This window comes from Homo sapiens, chromosome 1, assembly GCF_000001405.40.
Source record: "Homo sapiens chromosome 1, GRCh38.p14 Primary Assembly".
Classification (NCBI taxonomy): domain Eukaryota; kingdom Metazoa; phylum Chordata; class Mammalia; order Primates; family Hominidae; genus Homo; species Homo sapiens.
This window is the reverse complement of record NC_000001.11, coordinates 27,413,313-27,436,856: the sequence shown is the minus strand read 5'-3', so window position 1 is coordinate 27,436,856 and position 23,544 is coordinate 27,413,313. Positions and strand designations below refer to the sequence as shown.

At 44.0% G+C, this 23,544-nt stretch overlaps 1 protein-coding gene across 2 annotated transcripts in view, besides 2 other annotated features; it reads left to right on the top strand.

Moving 5' to 3' along the window:
- WASF2 (WASP family member 2) overlaps nucleotides 1-23,544 on the top strand; it is an 85,938-nt gene that overhangs the window by 53,311 nt on the left and 9,083 nt on the right. For both annotated transcript variants that reach the window (NM_001201404.3, NM_006990.5), the window contains exons 2-6: nucleotides 7,924-8,096; nucleotides 17,769-17,903; nucleotides 18,435-18,588; nucleotides 20,755-20,872; nucleotides 21,894-22,024. In NM_001201404.3, the coding sequence (NP_001188333.1) occupies nucleotides 7,967-8,096; nucleotides 17,769-17,903; nucleotides 18,435-18,588; nucleotides 20,755-20,872; nucleotides 21,894-22,024 (668 nt within the window). In that variant the 5' untranslated portion in view covers nucleotides 7,924-7,966. The remainder of the gene's footprint in view (nucleotides 1-7,923; nucleotides 8,097-17,768; nucleotides 17,904-18,434; nucleotides 18,589-20,754; nucleotides 20,873-21,893; nucleotides 22,025-23,544) is intronic.
- Nucleotides 5,834-6,807: an enhancer, noted in NCBI's record as "NANOG-H3K27ac-H3K4me1 hESC enhancer chr1:27756559-27757532 (GRCh37/hg19 assembly coordinates)". NCBI's record gives its function as "activates a minimal SCP1, AML or CMV promoter by ChIP-STARR-seq in naive H9 embryonic stem cells {active_cell/tissue: H9 hESC(naive)}" and the evidence as "EXISTENCE:reporter gene assay evidence [ECO:0000049][PMID:30033119]".
- Nucleotides 18,392-18,571: an enhancer, noted in NCBI's record as "active region_549". NCBI's record gives its function as "activates an Ori minimal core promoter by ATAC-STARR-seq in GM12878 lymphoblastoid cells {active_cell/tissue: GM12878}" and the evidence as "EXISTENCE:reporter gene assay evidence [ECO:0000049][PMID:35858748]".

Sequence of the window (23,544 nt, the reverse complement as noted above, 5' to 3'; positions counted from 1 at the left end):
CAGTCAAATACTTTCTGTATCTACCGCAGGAGTTCCATTTCTGTCCTACTAGCTCCTTTGGACATTGTTTTAGTGACCTAAACAGATTTGTCATTCCTTGTGCTTGGAGAGAGAGTGTGGTTATATTTGTTAGTTTAGCCCCACCCTGTATTTCAACAGGAAGTGGGTGGGTGCCTAAGCTTATAATGAAGTGTTCTTCCTTGTAGTTGCTGCATGGTAATGAGGACTGCTATATGCAACAGTAAATTCATACTTTAAACATTTTAATATACAGACTTAAATTTCAGTAAGACCATGTATTGTCTGTCATTTTGAAGTCAAATGACTATTCGACTTTCCAACTGAAATTCTTAAACCTAGTGAAATGCATATTCTTTTTCTTTTTTGTTTCTTTCTTTTTGAGACAGGGTCTGGCTCTGTCACCCAGGCTGGAGTGCAACCACTCCAGCTGGTGTGATCGTAGCTCTCTGCAACCTCCAAGGCTCAAGCAATCCTCAGTCCTCCTGCCTGAGCCCCCTGAGTAGCTGGGACTACAGCCGCATGCCACTACACCCAGCTAATCTTTTTGTTTTTAATAGAGATGAGGTCTGGCTATATTGCCCAGGCTGGTTTCGAATTCCTGGGCTCAAGCAGTCCTCCTGCTGCTGCCTCCCAAAGTATTAGGATTACAGGTGTGAATCACTACACCCAGCCATGTTCTTTAACATAAAGAAATGTATCTCTTGAAAGAGGAAACTCAAGAGTAAACCTCTTCTCATATGTCCCCATCCAAAGTGCTGTTAACTATAGAACAGTGGGAAACGCTGAAGTGAAAGCAGAAGTCCTAATTGCCACACATGCAACATCCCCACATGTTCCATCCCCTGCTACTGCTGATCAGCATTTTGGGGGTATGTTTCAAAGAGGAACTGCCTTGAGAAGCATTTCTGTTGTGATGGTTATTGCTATAGCTCAAATATGTTTGCTTTTTGGATGTGACCATAGAAATCTGCAGGTGTTATCAGTGACCTTGGCTCAAAATGTAGCATTGTTTATTTGTCATGAACAGCTAGTAATAAACATAGCCAGAAGAATGAGCAGTCATCTATCTGTCTTCTGGTAATAACAGGAGTTCAGAGTGTGGGGCACAGATGAGTGCATCCTCCCTTCTCTCACAGATATCCCTCCCTTTTTGTTTTCTTCTACCCTCCAACCCCCAGCTCACCCCATCCCACCCCACCCCACCCCACCCCAGGCTGTTGGGAGCAGTCATGAGAGTTCAGAAAGTAGGGTGGATATCAGAGTCTCCGTTGCCTAGACTGGAGTGCAGTGGCACAATCATACACACTGCAGCCTCAACCTTCTGGATTCAAGTGATCCTCCCACCTCAGCTTCCCAAGTAGCTGAGACTATAGGCATGTAGCACCACACACCCAGCTAATTTTTAAAATTTTTTGCAGAGACAGGGTCTGGCTTTTTTGCCCAAGCTGGTCTTGAACTCCTGAGCTCAAGCAATCTTCCGGTCTCAGCTCCCAAAGTGTTGGGATTACAGGTGCGAGCTACTGTGCCTGGCCCGAGTCTCTTTTTAACTTTATACTGACCAAAGGTGATATATAAAAGTATTCCATGATAGGCTGGGCATGGTGGCTCACGCCCGTAATCCCAACACTTTGGGAGGCCAAGGTGGGCGGATCACTTAGGTCAGGAGTTCGAGACCAGCCTGACCAACATGGAGAAACCCCATCTCTACTAAAAATACAAAAATTAGTGGGCATGGTGCTGTATGCCTGTAATCCCAGCTACTTGGGAAGGCTGAGGCAGGAGAATTGCTTGAACCTGGGAGGCGGAGGTTGTGGTGAGCCGAGATTGTGCCATTGTACTCCAGCCTGGGCAACAAGAGCAAAACTCCGTCTAAAAAAAAAAAATTGCATGATAACTTCAAATATACAGACTTGAAGAATCTCACTGTTTGAGGGGACCTTAAAGGGCCTCATCCAGTTTCCATTTCAAAGCACGAATGCCATCATGGCACTAACAGTCCAGACTGGTACTGCCAGGCCATGGCTAGGAAGTTCTGGCAGTCTTTTATTTGTTTTCAGACTCATTCTCAAGTCCCTTAGGCTGAAACTTGCTACAGATGAAGATGGGGTTACTGCTGAATCTGGCCTGGATGTCTGGAGCTGGTCCAAAATACAGTTTTTCTTTGAAATTTTTTGGGTAGCTAACTCCTTGATCAGTCCAGGAGCCCCTTGGGTATAAATAACCTCAGGGCTCTGTCTGGAACTTCCTTTGGGCCATTCTAGATCTCACAGGTCCTAGTAATTAGACAGATGTAGACCTGGAGAAGGGGCATGATTCATGGCTATAATCTGCCCCTCTCTACAGTCCCTAAATGTGCCTCTGATTGTGTGTTCAGAATGCAAGTGGATGTTGGCTGAGTGAGGAGATCATGGCAGCTTGGGTAGAAGCACATCTAGAAATTTTAGAGCTGGGAAGCTTCTAAAAGATGTTTAGCTTAGTCCATTTATTTTGTAGATGAGGACACAAAGCCCAGAATAAAAATTATAACATCTTTGATTTAGAAGGCATTGTAGAGGTCATCTAGTCTGACTTTCCAACACCTTCATAAATGCTAGAAATTTCTCCCCCAACGTGCCTGATAGCTGGTCATCCAGAGCACAGGGCTGGAGAACTCATAACCTTATCTAAAGATAAGCCATTCTACTATCGGACAATTCTAATTAAAATGACCTAGATAAATTGAAATCTACTTCCCTGTAACTTTTATATTCTCAGCAGTTCTAATTTAATTGCTCTCCTATTTGACATCTCCCAAGGTAAGACCTTCTCAAATCCCCAAATTAGCAGATATCACTATAGTATATAATTTCCCTAATCAAAGTAAAAGATGTCTGAAAAAGACCTTCACAGATTCCATAAAGATAGGGCATTCCACTCTTTCATGTATCCAGAATTTCCTTTTTTGACCAAGAACCACCACTTCACTGGTTTTCTTCACTTTCTCTTTGTTTTCCTTCACTGGCGCTAGCATTCAGCTCTTTTCTGACGCTTTTGATAAAGAAACATACATTTTATCACTTAGTGAGTATAACTGTATAAAACTAAAGAGAGCAGCCGGTGGGGCTGAGGGGCTGGACTCACCCCTGCAACTGCCACCTGTCTAGTTTCTCAGTTCATATTTGCTAGCTGTGGTAGGGTGGGCCTTTACATTTGTACTTTCTCCTTCTCAGCCTGTGAAGAATTTCCCAATTGGTCTTCTTACTTCCAGCCTTCTGCCCAAATATAACTCCTGTGCTTATGCAGAATGATTTGTCTAAAATGCAAATGTGACCCTGTTGTCCTTCCATAATTCAGTGGTTCCCCAACATCCAGTGCACTATACCAGTAAGGTGCTACTGATGATAGAGGAGCCTTTCTCAACTGGAGTTCCATGAAAGAATTAAATCTTAATGTCATTAGGCATTCATTATATGTAATATATTAACTTTTCTCCAGTACGCGTAGAATGGTGCTAGTTATGTACAGTCTTGAGGGGAATTGAGAAAACTGTCACTCTAATCATCCTTTTTGTTCTGTGGTTCAGATGAGGAATCCAGTTATGAAAGACTGGAAGAAAGAGATAGTATATGTTCTTCAGGAGGTCCAGGATCACAGCTGGAAGCAGCCTCCAGGAAAAACCTGCCAAATTCCTTTGAAGGCTAGAGTTTTGTCTTTAAACTTTTAATGTAAATATTGCATTCCACCATATAATATGTCTATGGTTAAAAGTATTTTTAAATATTTATCAATGAGGGGCCCGGGTATGGTGGCTTACACCTGTAATCCCAGCACTTTGGGAGGCCAAGGTGGGAAGATTGCTTGAGGCTAAAAGTTAGAGACCAGCCTGGACAGCATAGCAAGGCCCCATCTCTATAAAAGATAATAAATTAGCCAGGCATGGTGGCATGTGCCTGTAGTCCTGGCTACTTGTGAGGCTGAGGTGGGAGCATCACTTGAGCTCAGGTGTTTGAGGTTGCAGTGAGCTATGATCATGCCACTGCACTCCAACCTGGGCAACAGAGTGAGGCCTGGGTGACAGAGTGAGACCTTGTCTCTTAAATAATAAGATAAAATATTTATCAGTGAATAGGATTTATTCTACAGGAGGATTTGCCTAGGGTCTGTGGAACCACAAATAACTGCCTCTTTTTTTTTTTTTTTTTTTTTTTTGAGACAGAGTTTCGCTCTGTCGCCCAGGCTGGAGTGCAGTGGCGCGATCTTGGCTCACTGCAAGCTCCGCCTCCCAGGTTCACACCATTCTCCTGCCTCAGCCTCCCGAGTAGCTGGGACTACAGGCGCCTGCCACCGCGCCCAGCTAATTTTTTGTATTTTTAGTAGAGACGGCGTTTCACCATGTTAGCCAGGATGGTCTCGATCTCCTGACCTCGTGATCCGCCCGCCTCGGCCTCCCAAAGTGCTGGAATTACAGGCGTGAGCCACCGCGCCCGGCCTATAACTGCCTTTTTTTAAAAGCCCTGTAGTGGGTTTTTTATTTTATATATATTATTTAATGTCTCTAGGAAAATTGCCCCCAAGATCACACAGTAAGGTGTACTAGTCAGGGTGCTAACCTAAGAATGTGTCGACTCCATAAAGCCGATACATTTTCTATAACTTGAAGTGTGAGAGAGAGAGCCTGGAAATCTTTTTGCCCAATTCTAAGTTTATTTTCACCTGAATGTAAGATTTTTTTCTTCTTGGTCAAGTTACTGTTGTGGTTCAGATCATGCATAACTCCATGCTTCTTGTACAAACCAATCCTTGATTATCCAAAAGAAAAATGAGCAATGGTGCATGTCATTTCACATACAAGGAATTTTGTCTCTCTTTGGTGGCTTTGAAACAAATCACTTTAAACGATAGCAGATAAACTTTTCTAATTGTTTTGTCCTAATAGATATTGACATATTGTTATTTCTCGAGTACCCTCCCGCTGGTTGTGGTAAGTGGCCTTTTTGACAATAAGCCATTTGCTTTAGAAAACTTGGTTCCAGGTAAACCCCAAACAGATGACATACAGTTAGTTGTTTGTTCTGCTTATCCAAGGCACTTAGAAAACCATAAGTGCTAAAGTACCAAGGTGTTAGAATTTGCCCCCCACCCTCAATCTGAAATTTATGTAGCCATCTGGAATCTAGTTTCCATTAGGTATCCAGAGGGAAAGTCCAGAATGCCCTGTCATTGGTCACATTCAGCACAGCATTTCAAGGTGGTCTGGTTCTTTTAGCTCCTCTGAGAAGCTGGAATGAGTACTCAAATGATTACCAGTGGAAGAGCCACAGTGGCTGTTTCCAGTCATTCCTGGCTGTACACCAAATTTCTGGTTGATCTTGAAAGTTTGAAATTTGGGAATCTAAGGACACCTAGAGGATGGTGTTCAGAGCCCTGCAAGGTTCTTTCATATGTAACCTCCTCCCACCTTTCCTGTTCTAAACTCTCTTTACCATGTGTTACTGAAGATTGCATCTTAGTACCTGATACCCTTTACATTAAATAAAAGAGGGAAAGAGTTAAATTGGAAAGTCCAGGGTTTGGACTAGAAAACCCATGGGGTCAAAGGGGGAATTCAGCAGAGAAGTGGAATGGAAATCATTTCCTTAGACAGTAGACAAGTATTCAGGAAACACCTCTGCACCCCAAAGATAGGCACAGCTGCCACACAGTGACTATTAAAGGGAGGTTCAAAGTTATAAGCAAACAGCTGATTCTCTTGGTTCTTGGGCTGTTGCTGTTGGTGACAGGAAATCTTGTTCCCCAAGCTGCTGGCTTCCTGTTTTATTTTTACTTGTAGCAGATCAGAATGTCCATAACAAGGAGCAGTCTGTTCCGAAGGGTTCTACTCCCCCTTTGAGCCTGAAAGATTTTTTTTTCTCTTTTGGTCAGACAATATGTCTGTAATATTTAGTTTGGTTTAAGCATTTTGTATTCACAGTCAACGTTTTGGTGATGAGCTGGTATTTTAAGATTTGATGTAAATAAACCCTTGTTTTGCTTTTTTTTTTTTTTAAATATATAAAGAGGAGTTTATAATATTGGGGACTTGGCCCAGCTATTCGGAAAGCTAAGGTAGGAGGATCATTTGAGCAAGGCGGTCAAGAATGTAGTGAGCTGTGATCGCACCATTGCACTCCATACTGGATGACAGAGTGAGACCCCGTCTCAAAAAAACAAAAAGGCTGGGCGTGGTGGCTCATGCTTATAGTCCCAGCACTTTGGGAGGCTGAGCTCAGGAGTTCGAGACAAGTCTGGGCTACATGGCAAAACCTCATCTCTACAAAAAAATACAAAAATTAGCTGGGCGTGGTGGTGCATGCCTGTAATCCTAACTACTTGGGAGGCTGAGGCAGGAGGATCGCTTGAGCCCAGTAGGTGGAGGTTGCAGTGAGCTGAGATCGTGCCACTGCACTCTAGCCTGGGTGACAGAGCGAGACCCTGTCTCAAAAAAGAATAAAAAATAAGAAAAAAAATTGAGGACTTAGGTATGTTAACTTTATGCTTTACCTTTTCATGTGAAGTGAATTTGTCATTTTCCCTAGCATGAAAACCATTAGGCTGTTTTAGATTTCTTTAGTTTTATAAGATGTGGAAAGAGGATCAGTTCATTGTGCCTTGACTGTAGTCATATCCATTTTGTGGAAATTAAAACCCTCTCCTATCCTTGTAAAACTAGGAATTCGGTAATCTAAATCTAAAACAATAGCTCAGCATGAACCTGAAGTGCTGGGGGATTTCCTAGGGAAAGGGGCTCAGCCCACCGGATAAGAAACAGTAACTGGAAGGTTTCCGGATCTGCTCCAGACATTTCCTGCTGTCTCTAGAGCCTTTTGGCCCAGGTGTGTTGAACCGGATGGGAGCAAGAAAGGGAGCTGTTGGGTAGAAGAGAAAGCACCAGGGAATCTTACAGCACAGTTTACTCAGCATCATGTTTGACATATTGAATGTGTAAAATTTTTACTTTATATTCTCTCGTTCAGTCAATTTACAAACTAAACTTAAGAGATACTGGCATTAGTAGTTAGCTATACTTTTTTTTTTTTTTTTGAGACGGAGTCTTGCTCTTGTCACCCAGGCTGGAGTGCAATGGCGCAATCTCAGCTCACTGCAACCTCTGCTTTCCGGGTTCAAGCAATTTTCCTGCCTCAGCCTCCTCAGTAACTGGGATTACAGGCACCCGCGACACGCCTGGCCAATTTTTTGTATTTTTACTAAAGACAGGGTTTCACCATCTTGGCCAGGCTGCTCTCGAACTCCTGGCCTTAGGTGATCCACCTGCCTCAGCCTCCCAAAGTGCTGGGATTACAGGCGTGAGCCACCATGCCCGGCCTAGTGGTTAGCTATACATTAACAGCCATTTACCAAGGAAGGACTGGAAAAGTTAATCCTGATGTATATCAATCACTATTGGCAGCTTGATTTCGTTGTGGAGATTATCAGGTGACAGTGTTCTTTTTTGATCTTTATAATTGGTGGCCTAGAATCTGATCTGTCCTGGTTATGAACACCCCAGGGATAGGATCTGTACCGTCCAGTGTCTGCTGAATGGGCTGTTTTCTAACCATGCCTCCTTGCCTCTGGAGACTCTTGTTGGTTGGAGCAGTAGTTGGCACTTTAATGTTTCTATGCTGCCTATGTACCTCAGGCAGCAGTCACCAAGTCCAGAATTTCTAAACTTACATAGCAGATCTTCTAATAGCAAACCTTAAAAAGGGCAAGGGAGAGAGGACTTAAAAATGAAAGAAAAAAAAAGATAGGGAGAATGAAGATTTTTTTTAAAGCTGTTTTAGATCAGGGTAAGACCAAAAAAAAAAAAAAAAAAGATTCACACAGCCCTAGTGTGCCTGGAATTTGTGGTTGAGTAATACTTTCCTGTTATTTCTTTTTTAGGTTGTTTTTCACCATTCAGAACATTGCCTGAAGCAGGTCCACCATGCCGTTAGTAACGAGGAACATCGAGCCAAGGCACCTGTGCCGTCAGACGTTGCCTAGCGTTAGAAGCGAGCTGGAATGCGTGACCAACATCACCCTGGCAAATGTCATCCGACAGCTGGGCAGCCTGAGTGAGTGCCTCAGAGAGCCTGTGCTTTGCCCTCAGGGGTCGTTGGTGCTCTTTATTTAGTTTCCTTCTCCTCCCGCGTTCCTATTTCTCCCCCATCTGCCTTCCCTAGGTAATGCGAAAATGTATCCTCCCTCTCCTCCCCAAAGAGAGGCTCCCTTTTGGTGTAGCTTCTTCTCTTCAACCTTCTTTATCTACCACCACCCTCTAGGTTCCCTCCTCCCTCCCCCTCCACCTGCTTCAACAGAAATCTGTGGGAAGGGTGGCAGGAAGGGCTGCAGCAAAAACTGCAGACGGAATGACAGAGCAGAATTCTGTGTGTGTAAAGTGGGAGGTTCACAGAGCAGTATCTTGGGTCGGGGAATGTGCCTGTAATTACACGAGCTGTTCGATGTAGCCTGACTTTGTTGAAGCCTCAAATGTGCCAATAGTTTTTATCTACCCAACACCCCCACCCCTTTTCTTCCCAAAGAGGAGTAAAGCAAACATGCCTTCGGAGAGATTCTGACTGACTTGTCCACCCTGGTACACATTTAATTGTGCTGCAAGCCCCCAGGTCCAAGTTCAGGGTACAGATTACTTCTGCAGTCTCTGGGGTATTGGGAGTTTTGCAAGCTGTGTGAACATACAGTGACACAAATAGTAGCTGGAGCCATTCTTCCTTAGGAGGAAGATGGGGGTTAGCCCAGACTGTTTTGGAGCTGAAGGAAAGCCAGCTCAACTATATATATTTTTTTAATTGGCAAGAATGAATGAGACTGCCTTGGGTGGGGTACATGCATGTGGTTTGGATTTCATTCTGAATCAAGTTGACTTTGTTTGCTTGAAGCTGAGATATGGGAAGGGCAGATGCTTGGATTGGCTCTGCATTTATCTAGTGCCACTCCAGCTCCCATAAGAACCTCCGTCAAAATGCCATTTTAGTGATCTTCCTTAGCAAAGGCATCTTGGTGTGAATTATTTCAGATAGTCACCCCTCCTATCGCATCACTGCCCTTAGTGAAGGCAGTGGAATATCAAGAAAGCCTGCATTCTCCCGTATAGCAATAGGCCCAGCCTTTAAAATAGGAGGCTGAGGAGACAGAACTCTATGACCAGATGATGTATGGAGTCTGAGATTCCTAAGCCTTCACCTACCTCAGGGATCATCTCAGTTGATCCAGGGCTTAGAGAAACCTAGATGGGGCATCATGAAGAAATGAAACCCTGCCAGTGCCTGTCTTACACAAAGGAACACTGACAGTAGCACAACAGCAGTGCAGCTGACGAGGAAGCACATCAAGGCTGCAGAGACCTCACTGCTTTTTAAAGGCATAATTTCTGCCTCTCTCTGTCTCTCTCTGAGAAGGCCAAATGGGTGGAAGTCAATCAATCACACACTGGTTCCTTCTTCATAGGACAAAGAACATCTAGCTAATGATGCTTCTTATTTCCACTTACTGAAGTTACGCTCTCTCTCAGCTATTTTTCCAGGGTGGTGTTGATGGATGCCATTGCTCACACTCCCACTTGTGATCAGACCACTCCTATCTTGGGGAAGCTGATCTGAGGGCCAAAGTCACCTTATGCCCAAGGAAACAAGATTTTCTTACATTGTGGGGGCTAACTGATCCTTTATTCATCCAATAAACTTGTGTTGAACATATTTTATGTACCAGCTGCTGAGGGGATACTCAATAAGAATAAGAATAAGAGGCAATAATAAGAAATTGTCTCTGCCCTCCAGGACTCATAATCTACAAGGGGAGGCAGAAATAAATAATTCCTAAGAGGAGAGAATGGGAAGAGAGTGAGAAGGGAACCCACATTTGTTGATTGCCTACTTTATGCCAGGTTTGGATAAGATCTTGACATAGATTATCTCATTTAATCTTCTCAGTAATCCTATGAGATTAGGTGGTGGTATTCCCATTTTTCAGATAAAGAAAATAAGGCTCAGAAAAATAAGGTAACTTGGCCAGGCACAGTGGCTCATGCCTGTAATCCCAGCACTTTGGGAGGCTGAAGGGTGTGGATCACTTGAGGTCAGGAGTTCTAGACCAGCCTGGCCAACATGGTGAAACCCGTCTCTACAAAAAATACAAAAATTAGCCAGGTATGTTGTCACACACCTGTAATCCCAGCTACTCGGGAGGCTAAGGCACGAGAATCGCTTGAATCCGGGAGGCGGAGGTTGTAGTAAGCTGAGATTGTGCCACTGCACTCCAGCATGGGCGACAGAGCGAGACTTCATCTCAAAAAAAAAAAAAAATTAAGTTAACTTGCCTAAAGAGATACAGCCAGTAAGAGGCAAAGTCACTGTTTAAACTCAGACTTCCTACAGATTTCTCAGCTCTGTCCCTTACTCGCTGTCTCTGCCAATATTGCCCTGGTTTAGACTTCATTGACTTTCACCTAAACTATTACCCAAGCCTCCCTCTACCTTCTTTCTCTGATCCAACCCCCTTAAATCTGTTCCTATATCCCTGCCAGAGTGATCTGCCTAAAAATCAAATCTCACTTTTTACTTTTTATGATTCTGAATTTCTGAAGGTTTGAAAGTTCTGTGTTAACTTTTGTAATGTAACAAGTGTTTTTATAGTCAGAGTACACATCGCAACTATTTCTCTCCCCTCTTCCTCACTGTGGAATTATTTAAGTTCCTTGGCCTAGCATTCAGGACCCTGCAAGACCTGCCTTCCTTTCTAGCCTCATTTTCTACAGTCTGTCTTCCATTTTACAATTTTTTTTTTTAATTTTTGTGTTTTTGAGACAGAGTTTTGCTCTTGTTGCCTAGGCTGGAGTGCAATGGCGAGATCTCGGGTCCCTCCCTGCAGCCTTCGCCTCTGCGTTCAAGTGATTCTCCTGCCTGAGCCTCCCGAGTAGCTGGGACTACAGGCATGTGCCACCACACCCAGCTAATTTTTTTTTTTTTTTTTTTTTTTTTGAGACGGAGTCTCACTCTGTTGCCCAGGCTGGAGTGCAGTGGCGCCACCTCGGCTCACTGCAAGCTCTGCCTCACAGGTTCACGCCATTCTCCTGCCTCAGCCTCCCAGGTAGCTGGGACTACAGGCGCCCGCCACCATGCCTGGCTAATTTTTTTGTATTTTTAGAAGAGACAGGATTTCACCGTGTTAGCCAGGATGGTCTTAATCTCCTGACCTCGTGATCCGCCCACCTGGGCCTCCCAGAGTGCCGGGATTACAAGCGTGAGCCACTGCGCCTGGCCAATTTTTTGTATTTTTAGTAGAGACGGGGTTTCATCTTGTTGGCCAGGCTGGTCTCAAACTCCTGACCTCAGGTGATCCAACCGCCTCAGCCTCCCAAAGTGTTGGGATTACAGGCGTGATCCACCACGCCCAGCCTTCATTTTACAGTCTTTTAAAATGGAAAAAGGGGGCTTGGCATAGTGGCTCACACCTGTAATCCCAGTACTCTAGGAGGCTGAGACACAAGTATTGCTTATGCTCAGGAGTTCGAGACCAGTCCTGGCAATATACTGAGACCCTGTCGCTACAAAAATTAAAAAATTATCCAGGTGTGGTGCTGTACACCTGTAGTCCTAGCTGGTTGGGAGGATAAGGTTGGAGGATCGCTTGAGCCTGGGAGTTCAAGGCTGCAGTGAGCCATGATCATGCCACTCCAGCACTGGCCAACAGGGCGAGACCTTGTCTCAAATAAATAAATAAAATGAAAAAGGAAAGCAAAAAAGAATGAATTATCAGCTACTAGTAATTCTCCTGAGACAGACCATGCTCTCTCATATGTCCATACAGTGCTCTTGCTATCCCCACTGGCTGAACAGCCCTTGCCATCTTTGTCTGTCTGGCTGCCTGTAGCTGATCCTTCAAGGCCCAGCTCAGGAATCTTCTCTTCCAGGTTGGGCTAAGAGTGTTCCTCTGAGCTCCCGTTACATGCCTATATTATCCTATCACATTGTATCACAAATCACCTATGTCTCAATTAAAAATTATTGGCTGGGCACAATTGTAATCCTAGCACTCTGGGAGGTGGAGGCGGGAGGATTGCTTGGGCCCTGGAATTTGAGACAGCTTGGGCAACATAGTGAGACCCTGTCTCTACAAAATATAAACGAAATTAGCTGGGTGTGGTGGCGTGTGCCTGTACTTGCAGCTATTTGGAAGGCTGAGGTGCAAGGCTGGGGTAGGAGGATCACTTGAGCCCAGAAGGTGAAGGCTGCAGTGAGCTGAGATAGCACTGCTGCACTCCAGCCTGGGCAACCAAAAAAAAAAAATTGTTGAAGGTAGAAATCATGTATTGTTTGTTCTTGAACCCCAGTGTCTACCTTGTATAGTACCTGTCACCCAGTAGAAACTCAGTAAATGTCGAATAATTCACGCCTATATATTTCCCACTATTCCGTGCTATTGATGCACAAAGAATGTAGGAATGGAAAGAATACTTTCTGTGGGTAGTGGGGGCACAGGTAGGGATAGGCGGGGTCAAGGAAGACTTCACAGAAGAGGTTACATTTGAATGGGACCTTGAAAGATGACTGGGATTTCATCTAGCTGAGAGGAGTGCAGGGAAGGGTTCATATGTGCTTCAGGCTCATGACCTTGGCCTCATGTGCATTGTACCTGGGTGGAACTTCTCAATTTAGTAGTGAAAGTCTGATTATGGAATGGATAAAGCATAAAACTAAAAATTCCACAGCCATAGATGGCTCTGTGACAGCACATCCAGAATTCTTATTTTTTCTCAGAATAGTGAGATTGGCATTTCGCATATTCGGTTGCTGTATCTTAGGAAATACAGGCACAGCCAGCCAGCACTTTGTATCAGTATTGTGGCCACTCGGGAGAATGGAACCCCCACTTGGGTCATTAAAAAATCAAGCTAGATATTGGGTTTCTAACTGACTGCAGTGTGGGTGAGGGGGTGGGGCATGCCATTGGGGAGCTCCAAGACTCCCACTCAGACTTCAATAAGAGCAGCTTCACATTTTTAAACATCAGTTTTACCTGTTCTACTTCCACGTAACATTTCATTTGAAGTGTTCTGCTAAGGAAAAAACAAAATTGAAGACTGCTTCCTAGAATCTTTTGCAAAATGTGGTATCTGTATGAATGTTGGATAATGATGGATATTGGGTCTGTCTTGGTAATCTGAGTGAGTGAAATTTAACTCTGAACAAGACACTTTGGTTTTTCCTAGTTCAGTATCACACTTCTGTTTTCAGAAGTTGGAGTAATTTTTAGCACTTGAAGAATAGATACTATCAAATTACTGATTGGAATTATATTTAAAATTTTCCTCTAAGCTTAAAACTTAGGGTATTTAGGCTGGGCACAGTGGCTCACGCCTGTAATCCCAGCACTTGAGGAGGCCAAGGCGGATCACTTGAGGTTGGGAGTTCGAGACCAGCCTGGCCAACATGGTGAAACCCCTTCTCTGTTAAAAATACAAAAATTAGCTGGGCCTGCGCCTGTATTTCTACTTGGGAGGCTGAGGCAGGAGAATCTCTTGAATCCAGGAGGCAGAGGTTGCAGTGAGCTGAGATTGTGCCATTGCATTCCAGCCTGGGCAACAGAGCAAGTCTCTGTCTAAAAAATAAAAAAAAAAAATTTGAAAATCAAAAACTTAGGGTATTTAGAATTAACACTTTTTTTTTTTTTTTTTTTGAGATGGAGTCTCACTCCGTTGCCCAGGCTGAAGTGAAGTGGTATGATCTTGGCTCACTGCAACCTTTGCCTCTTGGGCTCAAGCGATTCTCATGTATCAGCCTCCTGAGTAGCTGGGATTACAAGATGATGTGCCACCATGCCTGGTTAAATTTTATATTTTTAGTAGAGACAGGGTTTCACCATGTTGGCCAGGCTGATCTCAAACTCCTGGTCTTCAGTGATCCACCCGCCTCGGCCTCCCAAAGCATTGGGATTATAGGCATGAGCCACCGTGTCTGGCCTTAGGTATTTACACTCTTAAGTCATGTAATGTGGTTGAGGAGTATAAGGAAGAATCTCATTGTAACAACTCACATTTTTAGCTCACTTAATCCTTATGGTAACTTGATGGGGTAGATATTATCCCCACTTTACAGATGAGGAAACTAAGGCTGGGAGATTGTGACTTGCTGATGAGTACACGAGTATAAATAGAAAGAGCTGAGACTGATTCCAATTTTCTTTTTTTTTTTTTTTTTTGAGACGGAGTCTTGCTCTGTCACCCAGGCTGGAGTGCAGTGGCACAATCTCGGCTCACTGCAAGCTCCGCCTCCTGGGTTCATGCAATTCTCCTGCCTCAGCCTCCTGAGTAGCTGGGACTACAGGCGCCCACCAACACGCCTGGCTAATTTTTTGTATTTTTAGTAGAGATGGAGTTTCACCGTGTTAGCCAGGATGGTTGTGATCTCCTGACCTCGTGATCCGCCCACCTCAGCCTCCCAAAGTGCTGGGATTACAGGCATGAGCCACTGCGCCCAGCCCAGATTTTCTGGTTTGAAGTCAACTGCTCCTTCCATGTCTCAGTATAGTTCTAAGTCTGCCTCGGGCCTGAGGTGATGAGATAGTGGGGAAGCCTTCACACCACCTCACTTCCTCTTAAAACAGAGATCTTATTGTTACCAGTTTTATATGTTGAGGTTCTGTGTAAGATTTTTTCTTGAAAACCACTGTGCCACACTGAGCCTCTACTTCTACTATCACTATCCCCTTCACTTAAGGAGCAGGAAATCCTAGGTACTCTTGGTGACTCTTGGTGTAAGTTGATTGTTTTTTTTTTTTCCCCCTCCAGAATAGCTGGATGGTTAATAGATATTTTTCTTTTTTCTTTTCTTTTATTTCATTTTATTTATTATTATTATTTTTGAGATAGGCTGGAGTACAGTGGCATGATCTGGGCTCACTGCAACCTCTGCCTCCCAAGTTCAAGTGATTCTCATGCCTCAACCTCCTGAGTAGCTGGGATTACAGGTGTCCGCCACCACGCCCAGCTAATTTTTTTTTTTGAGATGGAGTCTCGCTGTCTCACCTAGGCTAGAGTGCAATGGCGCGATCTTGGCTCACTGCAACCTCTGTCTCCCAGGTTCACGCAATTCTTCTGCCTCAGCCTCCTGAGTAGCTGGGATTACAGGCGCCTGCCACCATGCCCATCTCATTTTTGTATTATTAGTAGAGATGGGGTTTCACCATGTTGGCCAGGCTGGTCTCAAACTCCTGACCTTAGGTGATCTGCCTCCCTTGGCCTCCCAAAGTGCTGGGATTATAGTCATGAGCCACCACGCCTGGCCTAATTTTTTTGTAATTTTATTAGAGGCAGGGTTTTGCCATATTGCCCATGCTGGTCTCAAACTTCTGGCCTCAAGTGATCTGCCCACCTTGGCCTCCCAAAGTGATGGGATTACAGGCATGAGCCACCATGCCTAGCCTTCTTTTATTTTTAACAGATATTTTTGAGCTTGGTTTGTTTTCCACACATAATGTTGCATATTTCTCTGTTTCAGCCTTCCAAACACAATTTTCCATTACCTAGACAAGCATGATACAGTATGGTTTTCATAGGAACTTAGCCATATTAGAACAGGGATCAAATAAAATCCTCAACCTGCAGAGTAGAAATGCTTGTCAGCCAATTTGAGTTCTTTGAGCTCAGGAGCGTCCCATAGTTGTTTAGGTCACAAACGATCAATATGCAAGGACTTGCTTCTTCCTTGATTAGAAGTCCTTATTGACTTAAATTTACCAGCAATTCAAAATATGCAGTTGATTGGTCTTATCCCCACTCTTCAGGTTGTACTGGGAAGGTGAGCTGCAGTTCACCCTGAAGGTGTGGTTTTGGCCTTTCAGGCTATTTTTTCCCCCTCAAATATGGACTAAGCATAAATGTAGTTTTGAAGCTAAAAATTAGAGCCTACTTTAAATAGTTCTCAAAAAAAGATTATCATTTGATTGGGCACAGTCTCTTATGCGTGCCTTCACCTTGCAAGAAGCTCAGATGGTAGGCCCGGGCGTGGTGGCTCATGCATGTAATCCCAGTACTTTGGGAGGCTGAGGTGGGCAGATCACCTGAGGTCAGGAGTTCAAGACCAGCCTGGCCAACATGATGAAACCCCGTCTCTACTAAAAATACAAAAAATGAGCCGGGCGTTGTGGCAGGCACCTGTAATCCCAGCTACTCAGGAGGCTGAGGCAGGAGAATCACTTGAACGCGGGAGGCAGAGGCTGCAGTGAGCTGAGATTGCGTGCCACTGCACTCCACCTGGGGGATAGAGCAAGACTCTGTCTCAAAAAAAAAAAAAAAAAAAAAAAAGCTCAGATGGTATATTTATTTGTATGCACCACTTTTCATTCCTAGTAAGAATGTGCCTGTGGCTTGGAATGACAATATAGAGGTAGTGTCAAATTGCTGTTATGTTTCTTTGGCTGCAAATTCTCCTTGCATTCCAGGGTTGAAAGTACGGAACTTTTCTTTTTCTAAAAAACAAGACATTGTGGAAAGAGACCACTGCTATGTTGTTTTTCAGAGAGGGCTTGAAAGTTTCAGCTTTTCACTTGGTTCCTGAGATGTAGATTTGAAGGATTGTAACCTAGAGCAGACTTTGAAAGTTATAGGTTACAAGCCGGGCATGGTGGCTAGAACACCTGTAATCCCAGCACTTCGGGAGGCCAAGGTGGGCGGATCACTTGAGGCCAGGAGTTTGAGACCAGCCTGGGCAACCTGGCAAATCCCCATCTCTACCAAAAATACAAAAATTAGTTTGGCATGGTGGTGCGCATCTGTAATCCCAGTTACTCGGGAGGCTAATACATGAGAATCGCTTGAGCCCAGGAGATGGAGGTTGCAGTGAGCCGAGATCACGCCACTGTACTGCAGCCTGGGTGACAGAGGGAAACTCTGTCTCCAAAAAAAGAAAAAAAAATTATAAGTTATAAAACATAAAGGAACCTTCCCACCTCTTAAAAGAAGTTGTATATCTCTGCTATGGCTTGTTGATAAGCTCAGGGCCCCTCAAAGATAACACAACTGATCATAGTTGTTCACTGTATTTTCAAGGCTCCATTGAGGAACTAATTTCCTATTTTTCATGTTAATTTTAGATACGTAGAACGTCCTCTGAACTCCCAATCTGTTTTTCAGAACCGTTTTATAAGGTACTTTTACAGAACAGCAAGAGGCTAAGGGCTATAGGCAAATGTGTAGTGTTTATTTTATTTGGAGTCTCGCTCCGTCACCCAGGATGGGGTGCAGTGGCTCGGTCTTGGCTCACTGCAACCTCCGCCTCCCGAGGTCAAGCAATTCTCCTGCCTCAACCTCCCCAGTAGCTGGGATTATAGGTGCCTGCCAGCACGCCTGTCTAATTTTTGTATTTTTAGTAGAGACGGGGTTTCCCCATGTTGCCCAGGCTGGAAATGTGTAGAAATATTATCTTTTCTTCCAGGCTTAATTTTTTGCATTACACCTTTCAGTTTTATTCAGCCTGTTTTGAGTCTCATGACTGTTCACGTCTGTCAAGAAGACTCTATTAGTTATAGAACATATGCAGGCTTCCTAAACTATGAAGAGTATTTCTCTGTCTCTAAGAGCAGTCATCTGCATATAGCCCAAACCGTCTTAGGGTATGTGTGTGTATATGTATGTGTTTGGGGGTTAGGGAACACGATCTTTAGTAGCCAGTTTTTGTGACCATTTACGTTACTTCTATGCACTAGTGACTTGGTTTCTTTGCTCTTTCCAGGTAAATATGCAGAGGACATTTTTGGAGAGCTCTTTACTCAGGCAAATACCTTTGCCTCTCGGGTAAGCTCCCTTGCTGAGAGGGTCGACCGACTACAGGTTAAAGTCACTCAGCTGGATCCCAAGGAAGAAGAAGGTAAGAAAGCTGAGCTCAGCATTTGCAGGCTCTGCTGAGCAGTTTTGTAGAATTTTTTTTCCCTGATTTATTTAAAAAAAAAAAAACGTGAGGAGAGAAATCACAGAGACCTATAGAGTTCTGCTTTGAAATCACACAAGCCTGAGTGCTGGAAAGAACCTTTTTAGCTCCACCACACCCCCATGCACTCCTTTCTCCCATTCCCCCAATTCCTTCTTTCTCAAATTTCCCCTCCCTCAATCGTATTTTGCTACCATAAAAGTACTTGGAAGATTCATTCCTCCTAAGGAGAGGCCTGCTAGATCTGGCCACATAGTAAACCTTTGTGTTGCCTCATTTTGTTCAGTCGTGAAACGACTGGGCTGCTGACAGCCTTGTGGGGCTTCCCCAGAGGGGGAGGGAAAAAAAAAGCCTGGCTGCGGACAGCCACAGCCAAGAAGTGCAGCAGCTGAGGCCTCTCCGACTGGTGTGACTCAGTGTTTGCTCAAATAGCCTGTCGTCCATTTTCTAACGCCTTCCATCTTCTCTCAGTGTCACTGCAAGGAATCAACACCCGAAAAGCCTTCAGAAGTTCCACCATTCAAGACCAGAAGCTTTTTGACAGAAACTCTCTCCCAGTGCCTGTCTTAGAAACATACAATACCTGTGATACTCCTCCCCCTCTCAACAATCTTACCCCTTACAGGTAATGGCTGGCTAGTTCCTCCCTTTTTCAACCTATGGTTTAATAACGCTAGATTTTTTTTTGTCTGAAGCGGTTGTTTCCATCAGAGGATTGTATCTAAAAGCTTACTGCCTACCCCAAAGTTGTGGTAGTTTCTGTGGCAGCAGAAACTAAAATTTACACCATAAAAATTGTCACTTATTATTGTTTGGTTTCTGAAATTCATAGTGAATATAATACATATTGAAAGTTTACTGTAACCATTGCATGCTACAGAGTTTAATTTCATATAAGCCAGGTCCATCTTGGATTCCATCCAAGGAATTTAGTTATTATAGAACCAAAAGGACTTTGTTACAAGGCGGTCCTACAGCATGGATCCCAGGGGCAACATTCTAGCAAGGCTCCCACTTACTTGGAAACCACTAGATTACCAGATGTTTGGGTGTGTTAGTGGGGCCAGCCTCTTGGCCTGGCTGCTCTGGGCCCAAAGGGGTCTTTCCAAAGCTTAAGGAGTAATTCGCATTCTTCCAAATGAGCATCGTTCACTTTGTTTTGAACATCCTTTGGACATTTCCTTCTGTAAGGACCTACTCTGCTGTGCCTGGACTTGAAAAAGAAGGTAGCCTTATAGACAAAGCCCCTCTCCTCTAGTGGTTTGGTAGTTTTGTCATCCTGCAAAAAACCACTGAAGAGGGGCAGAAGGTGAATATTTATCTTGCTTACACCCATATATATCTTTGGAGCAGGTAAAAAGTAATTACAGATAGCTGGAGGCAGATGTCTTCTATCAGACATGTGTACACTGCAAGGTAGAGTGTGTGTGTGTGTGTACCCACGTGAAATTCAAGGACACCAGTCAGATTCAGGGAGCCTTCTCACACAGATATAAAGTACATGGCATCTGTCCTTCATTTTACTTGTAAAATTATGTTTGCCCCTTGGCTTTCAAAGGGACCAGCATAGCAGGACAGAGGTTTGACTCTGCAGCCTCCGTTATTGAGTCTAGTTGGGTTTGGGCAGAGGGGTTGTGGGGCAGAAAGGGGTCATACAACTGATAATATTGTAGCGAGTATAACATAGGGTTTGTGTGGTGGGATTGCATAAACAAATGATATTAGGAGAATTTTATTCTTCAGTTAATGGTATTTTTCTTTTTAGCATACAGTGTCAGAATTAGCGTGGCCTCTCAGTTATCTGAACTTGGCCTAACAGAAATGAGTGGTGGTGTATCTAACTCAGGAGAAGATTTAATATAGAAATTATTAATGTTTGATTTGGAAGTGCTTTCTGTGTTGTGATAGGATTGGAGGGTAGGGAATAGAATTGCCTTTCCAGTTCTTTTTAGTTCAGAATAATGTTAAGATAAATGTTCACTCCTAAGCACATCCTTTCTGGATAGTGAGAGGACCTTATCCATGCCAAAATGCAAGATTCCAACTAGGACCATTGAATCTGGCAGATAGCCCTTATATGGACACTAAGTAGTTTACTCTGTCCCACTGGCACAGCCATTAATTAGAAGCTGGTGATTAAACCTTGTGGTCTTACAACAGCTGGCCATCTTTTCTCACTGGAGCCCTCTTGTGGTTGGGGTGTATGTGGATGCTGAGCTGTTCTAGAAGGGAGCAAGAAGGTGGAGTGCTGTGGTTGGTTTTCTGTGTGTGCAGAGAAATAACAGCTGTAAACCACACACTTTTCACGTATATATGTGTACATATGCATACACATGAACTCCCACATGTGCACACAGGTTTCCAGTGGGTGGGAAGCTACTGATGCTTTCTAGAGAGTCCTTGGGGAACTGGTGGGAAAAGAGGAACCAGTGGTAGAAATCCCCTCTGATGTACCAGGAAATCCGAATATCCTCAGGGAGATCTCTGTGGCCATGCAGATCATCAGAAGTAATCAGGATCCCTGCTGCTATCACCTGTACTTGCCCTGACAATGCAAATTCATCTACCAGGAATTGAAAGTAAGGCTAAGGTTCTTAAAAAGTCTGATAAGTAGAGAGGTGCCATTCGGGGGCATTGAAATGCTGGTATGGGAGAGGAGGTATGCAATCGATTCAAATGACTTCTTGATTCCTTGGTGTAAAAACTGCTAACTGGTAGGTGTTTGGAATATTGGATTTGGTTGGGAGCTCATCTGTCTACTGACAGCTACTTGTCTTCATTTCTATCCCAGGGACGATGGAAAAGAGGCACTCAAATTCTACACAGACCCTTCATACTTCTTTGATCTTTGGAAGGAGAAGATGCTGCAGGACACCAAGGATATCATGAAAGAGAAGAGAAAGCATAGGGTGAGGGGAAAGGGGCCTCTGTTCTCCACATCAGTAGGCACGATTGTGGAGGGGGATAAAAAGGAAGCCAGTGTTATGTGAAGTAATCATTTCAAGTGGCTGCTTGCTTGGATGCCAGGTGAAACTCTTAAAAAAATGTGTCCACACCAAGCACAACCAAGATGAAAGTATAAATCATACCAAAAATGTGTTTGTTCCCCCCAGTGCTATTAACAATTGAGTATATTCAGGCTGAGTTTTAGAAATTGACTTTTCTATTCACCATTTATTTCTCTTGCAATTTGCACCTGACTCTGCTGGACACTCAAGCTAGGCTAGTCCCTTCTCCACTAGTTTTGCAGCTCATTTCTCAGAGATCAGCACAAGGTTCTGCAGTGTTTGATTTGCAACAGGAGCAGTTTAATGCCTTCGCTACGGGCTGGGCGGGGCTAGGGTGGGGGGATATATGTAGGTTTTGAAGATTCTCCCTCCCCATAGACTCTTCCTGGTATGTATGTGACCTACCAGTTGCAACCTCAGTCCCATTAGCATGGCTGCCAGGAGGCCCAAGAGAGTGCCAGGGGCAAGAGCAGCTGCACAGGCGGAAAAATTCTTCATTGATTTTTGTTTTGTTTTGTTTTGTTTAAACTATTTCCTTATATGTGCCCCAGATAACTGCAGGTCTCATTACATCTCATCTCTCTTGACTGACCTTTGGGGCTGAGCAAATAATAAATAGCTGTTTACTAACATCTAGCAATTAGAGCTTTTCAAAAATGTGAATGAGTTATCCAAAGAGGAAGTGGGGTTCCCGTTGCTGGAGGCATTTGAGTGTGGGATTGAGCAAATGTTTCACCCGGGGATGGTTTGGATTAGATGGCCTCTGGGTCACTTCAAACCCAGTAATTCTGTAAGTTCTGTAGTTATTGTATGTTGTCTAGGCAGATTATCTCTTAGATACGCATCCATGAAGATGGGTAGAATTTTAATGAAGAACTTGGAAAATGTTCTACAAAGACCTTCCTGTTCCTTTTCATTATAGAAAGAAAAGAAAGATAATCCAAATCGAGGGAATGTAAACCCACGTAAAATCAAGACACGTAAGGAAGAGTGGGAGAAAATGAAGATGGGGCAAGAATTTGTGGAGTCCAAAGAAAAGCTGGGGACTTCTGGGTAGGTAATGCCTTTGTACTGTTGGTAGCATTCTTTGAAGGGGCTGGGGACAACAGTCTGACAGCTCTGGTGTGACACCTTTCACACCCCCTGAAGTCTGTCTCTGTGGCTTAGATCAATACCACTGTTAATCAGCTACTTTAAAGTGCATCCATCTGGTGATGAAAATTTGCTAAATAAATCAAGAGATTCAGCAATTTAAATGAGGTGATTGGAGTGGTCTGGAAAAGAAAGCCCATGGCTCCTAGTGCCCTTACTCTGCGAGATACACATCTAAGGGCCCCAGAGGAAAGATTGGAAAGGGAAGAAAAGTGGTCTTGGGAATCCTTTGCCTCCAGAGCATTGATTTGAAGGTCATGCCTAAGAACTGGGCATTTCACTCTCAGGGCTGGGGAGGGCTAGGCAAGAAAGCTGTTCACATCACCAAAGCAACTTTTCAGTCAGCCTTTGTCAGTCATGGGAGAGAAGCTAGCCAAGGGACTGAATGCAGACCTCATAGACAGTGTGGGAAAGGTTGCTTGGCCAGTATTGAGGCTATATATCTCTGTGGAGAAATAAGAGGTGTCAGTCTGACCCCATTTCCCAATACCAAATCACACTGGAGGTTTAAAGGGGGAAAAAGATGGTTTTAAAGCTTGGTTTGATGCTTATCCTGGTGTCTGACCTGGTTGACATTCAAAGCCAAGTCACCATGACTGCTTGGCATGAATGTCGCCCTGGTTTTTTCTCTAAATACACTGCATCATGGCTGTCAGAGAACCATGCCAGCCCATGCTGGGTGTCTAGGAATGATAAAAGGAAAGAGTTGAGTTGTTCTTGCTTTTAGAAATAACTCTACCATGAAAATCTTGACTTTTAAAAATCTTGACACTTCTGACACTTGTTCTTCGTGGATTAAGAGATCTGCTTTAAAGAGTGATGAAGATGGTGAAAGGAAAAAATGAACCTTTTTCTCTACTGGGAAATCAGCCCTGAGGGTACCTTCATTACCTTCACCTCCCAGTAAAGGGGGACATTTTGTTCCACGGACCAATCCTGTTCAGACAGGCACTTGTCATAGGTTCAATGACTCTAAGGCCAGAAGCTTATGTGTTCAGAATGCCAGCTACCCATGTGTGTCTTCTTTTTGTGGAGTAGGAAGATGAGGATTTGCCTTCCATTTTCCTGTTGTCCAGGCGGTTTGGAGTTGGGGCTTCATGGTTAGTCTATCTGGACATGCCTGTTGGTGAACCTATAAAGAGACGTGCCAAGGCTCCAGGGCTCCAGGCCTTGGGGATTTTCCACATCAGAGCATCTTTTGATTCAGTTAGTTTTCTCCAACTCTGTTCTCCCTGAGGTCTGTTTTAGATGAGTTCTTTAGACCCCAACAATGGTGGAAAGAGGGGGAGGTGGAGCAGAGCAGGCCAGATTTTGCTAGCTGATGCTTGGTGTATTTGTGCTTGTTTGAAGTTTTGTTGTTGTTCACCCAGAACAAATTCACCCAAGGCCCAGTGCACTGAGGGACAGGTTTTCATGAGACA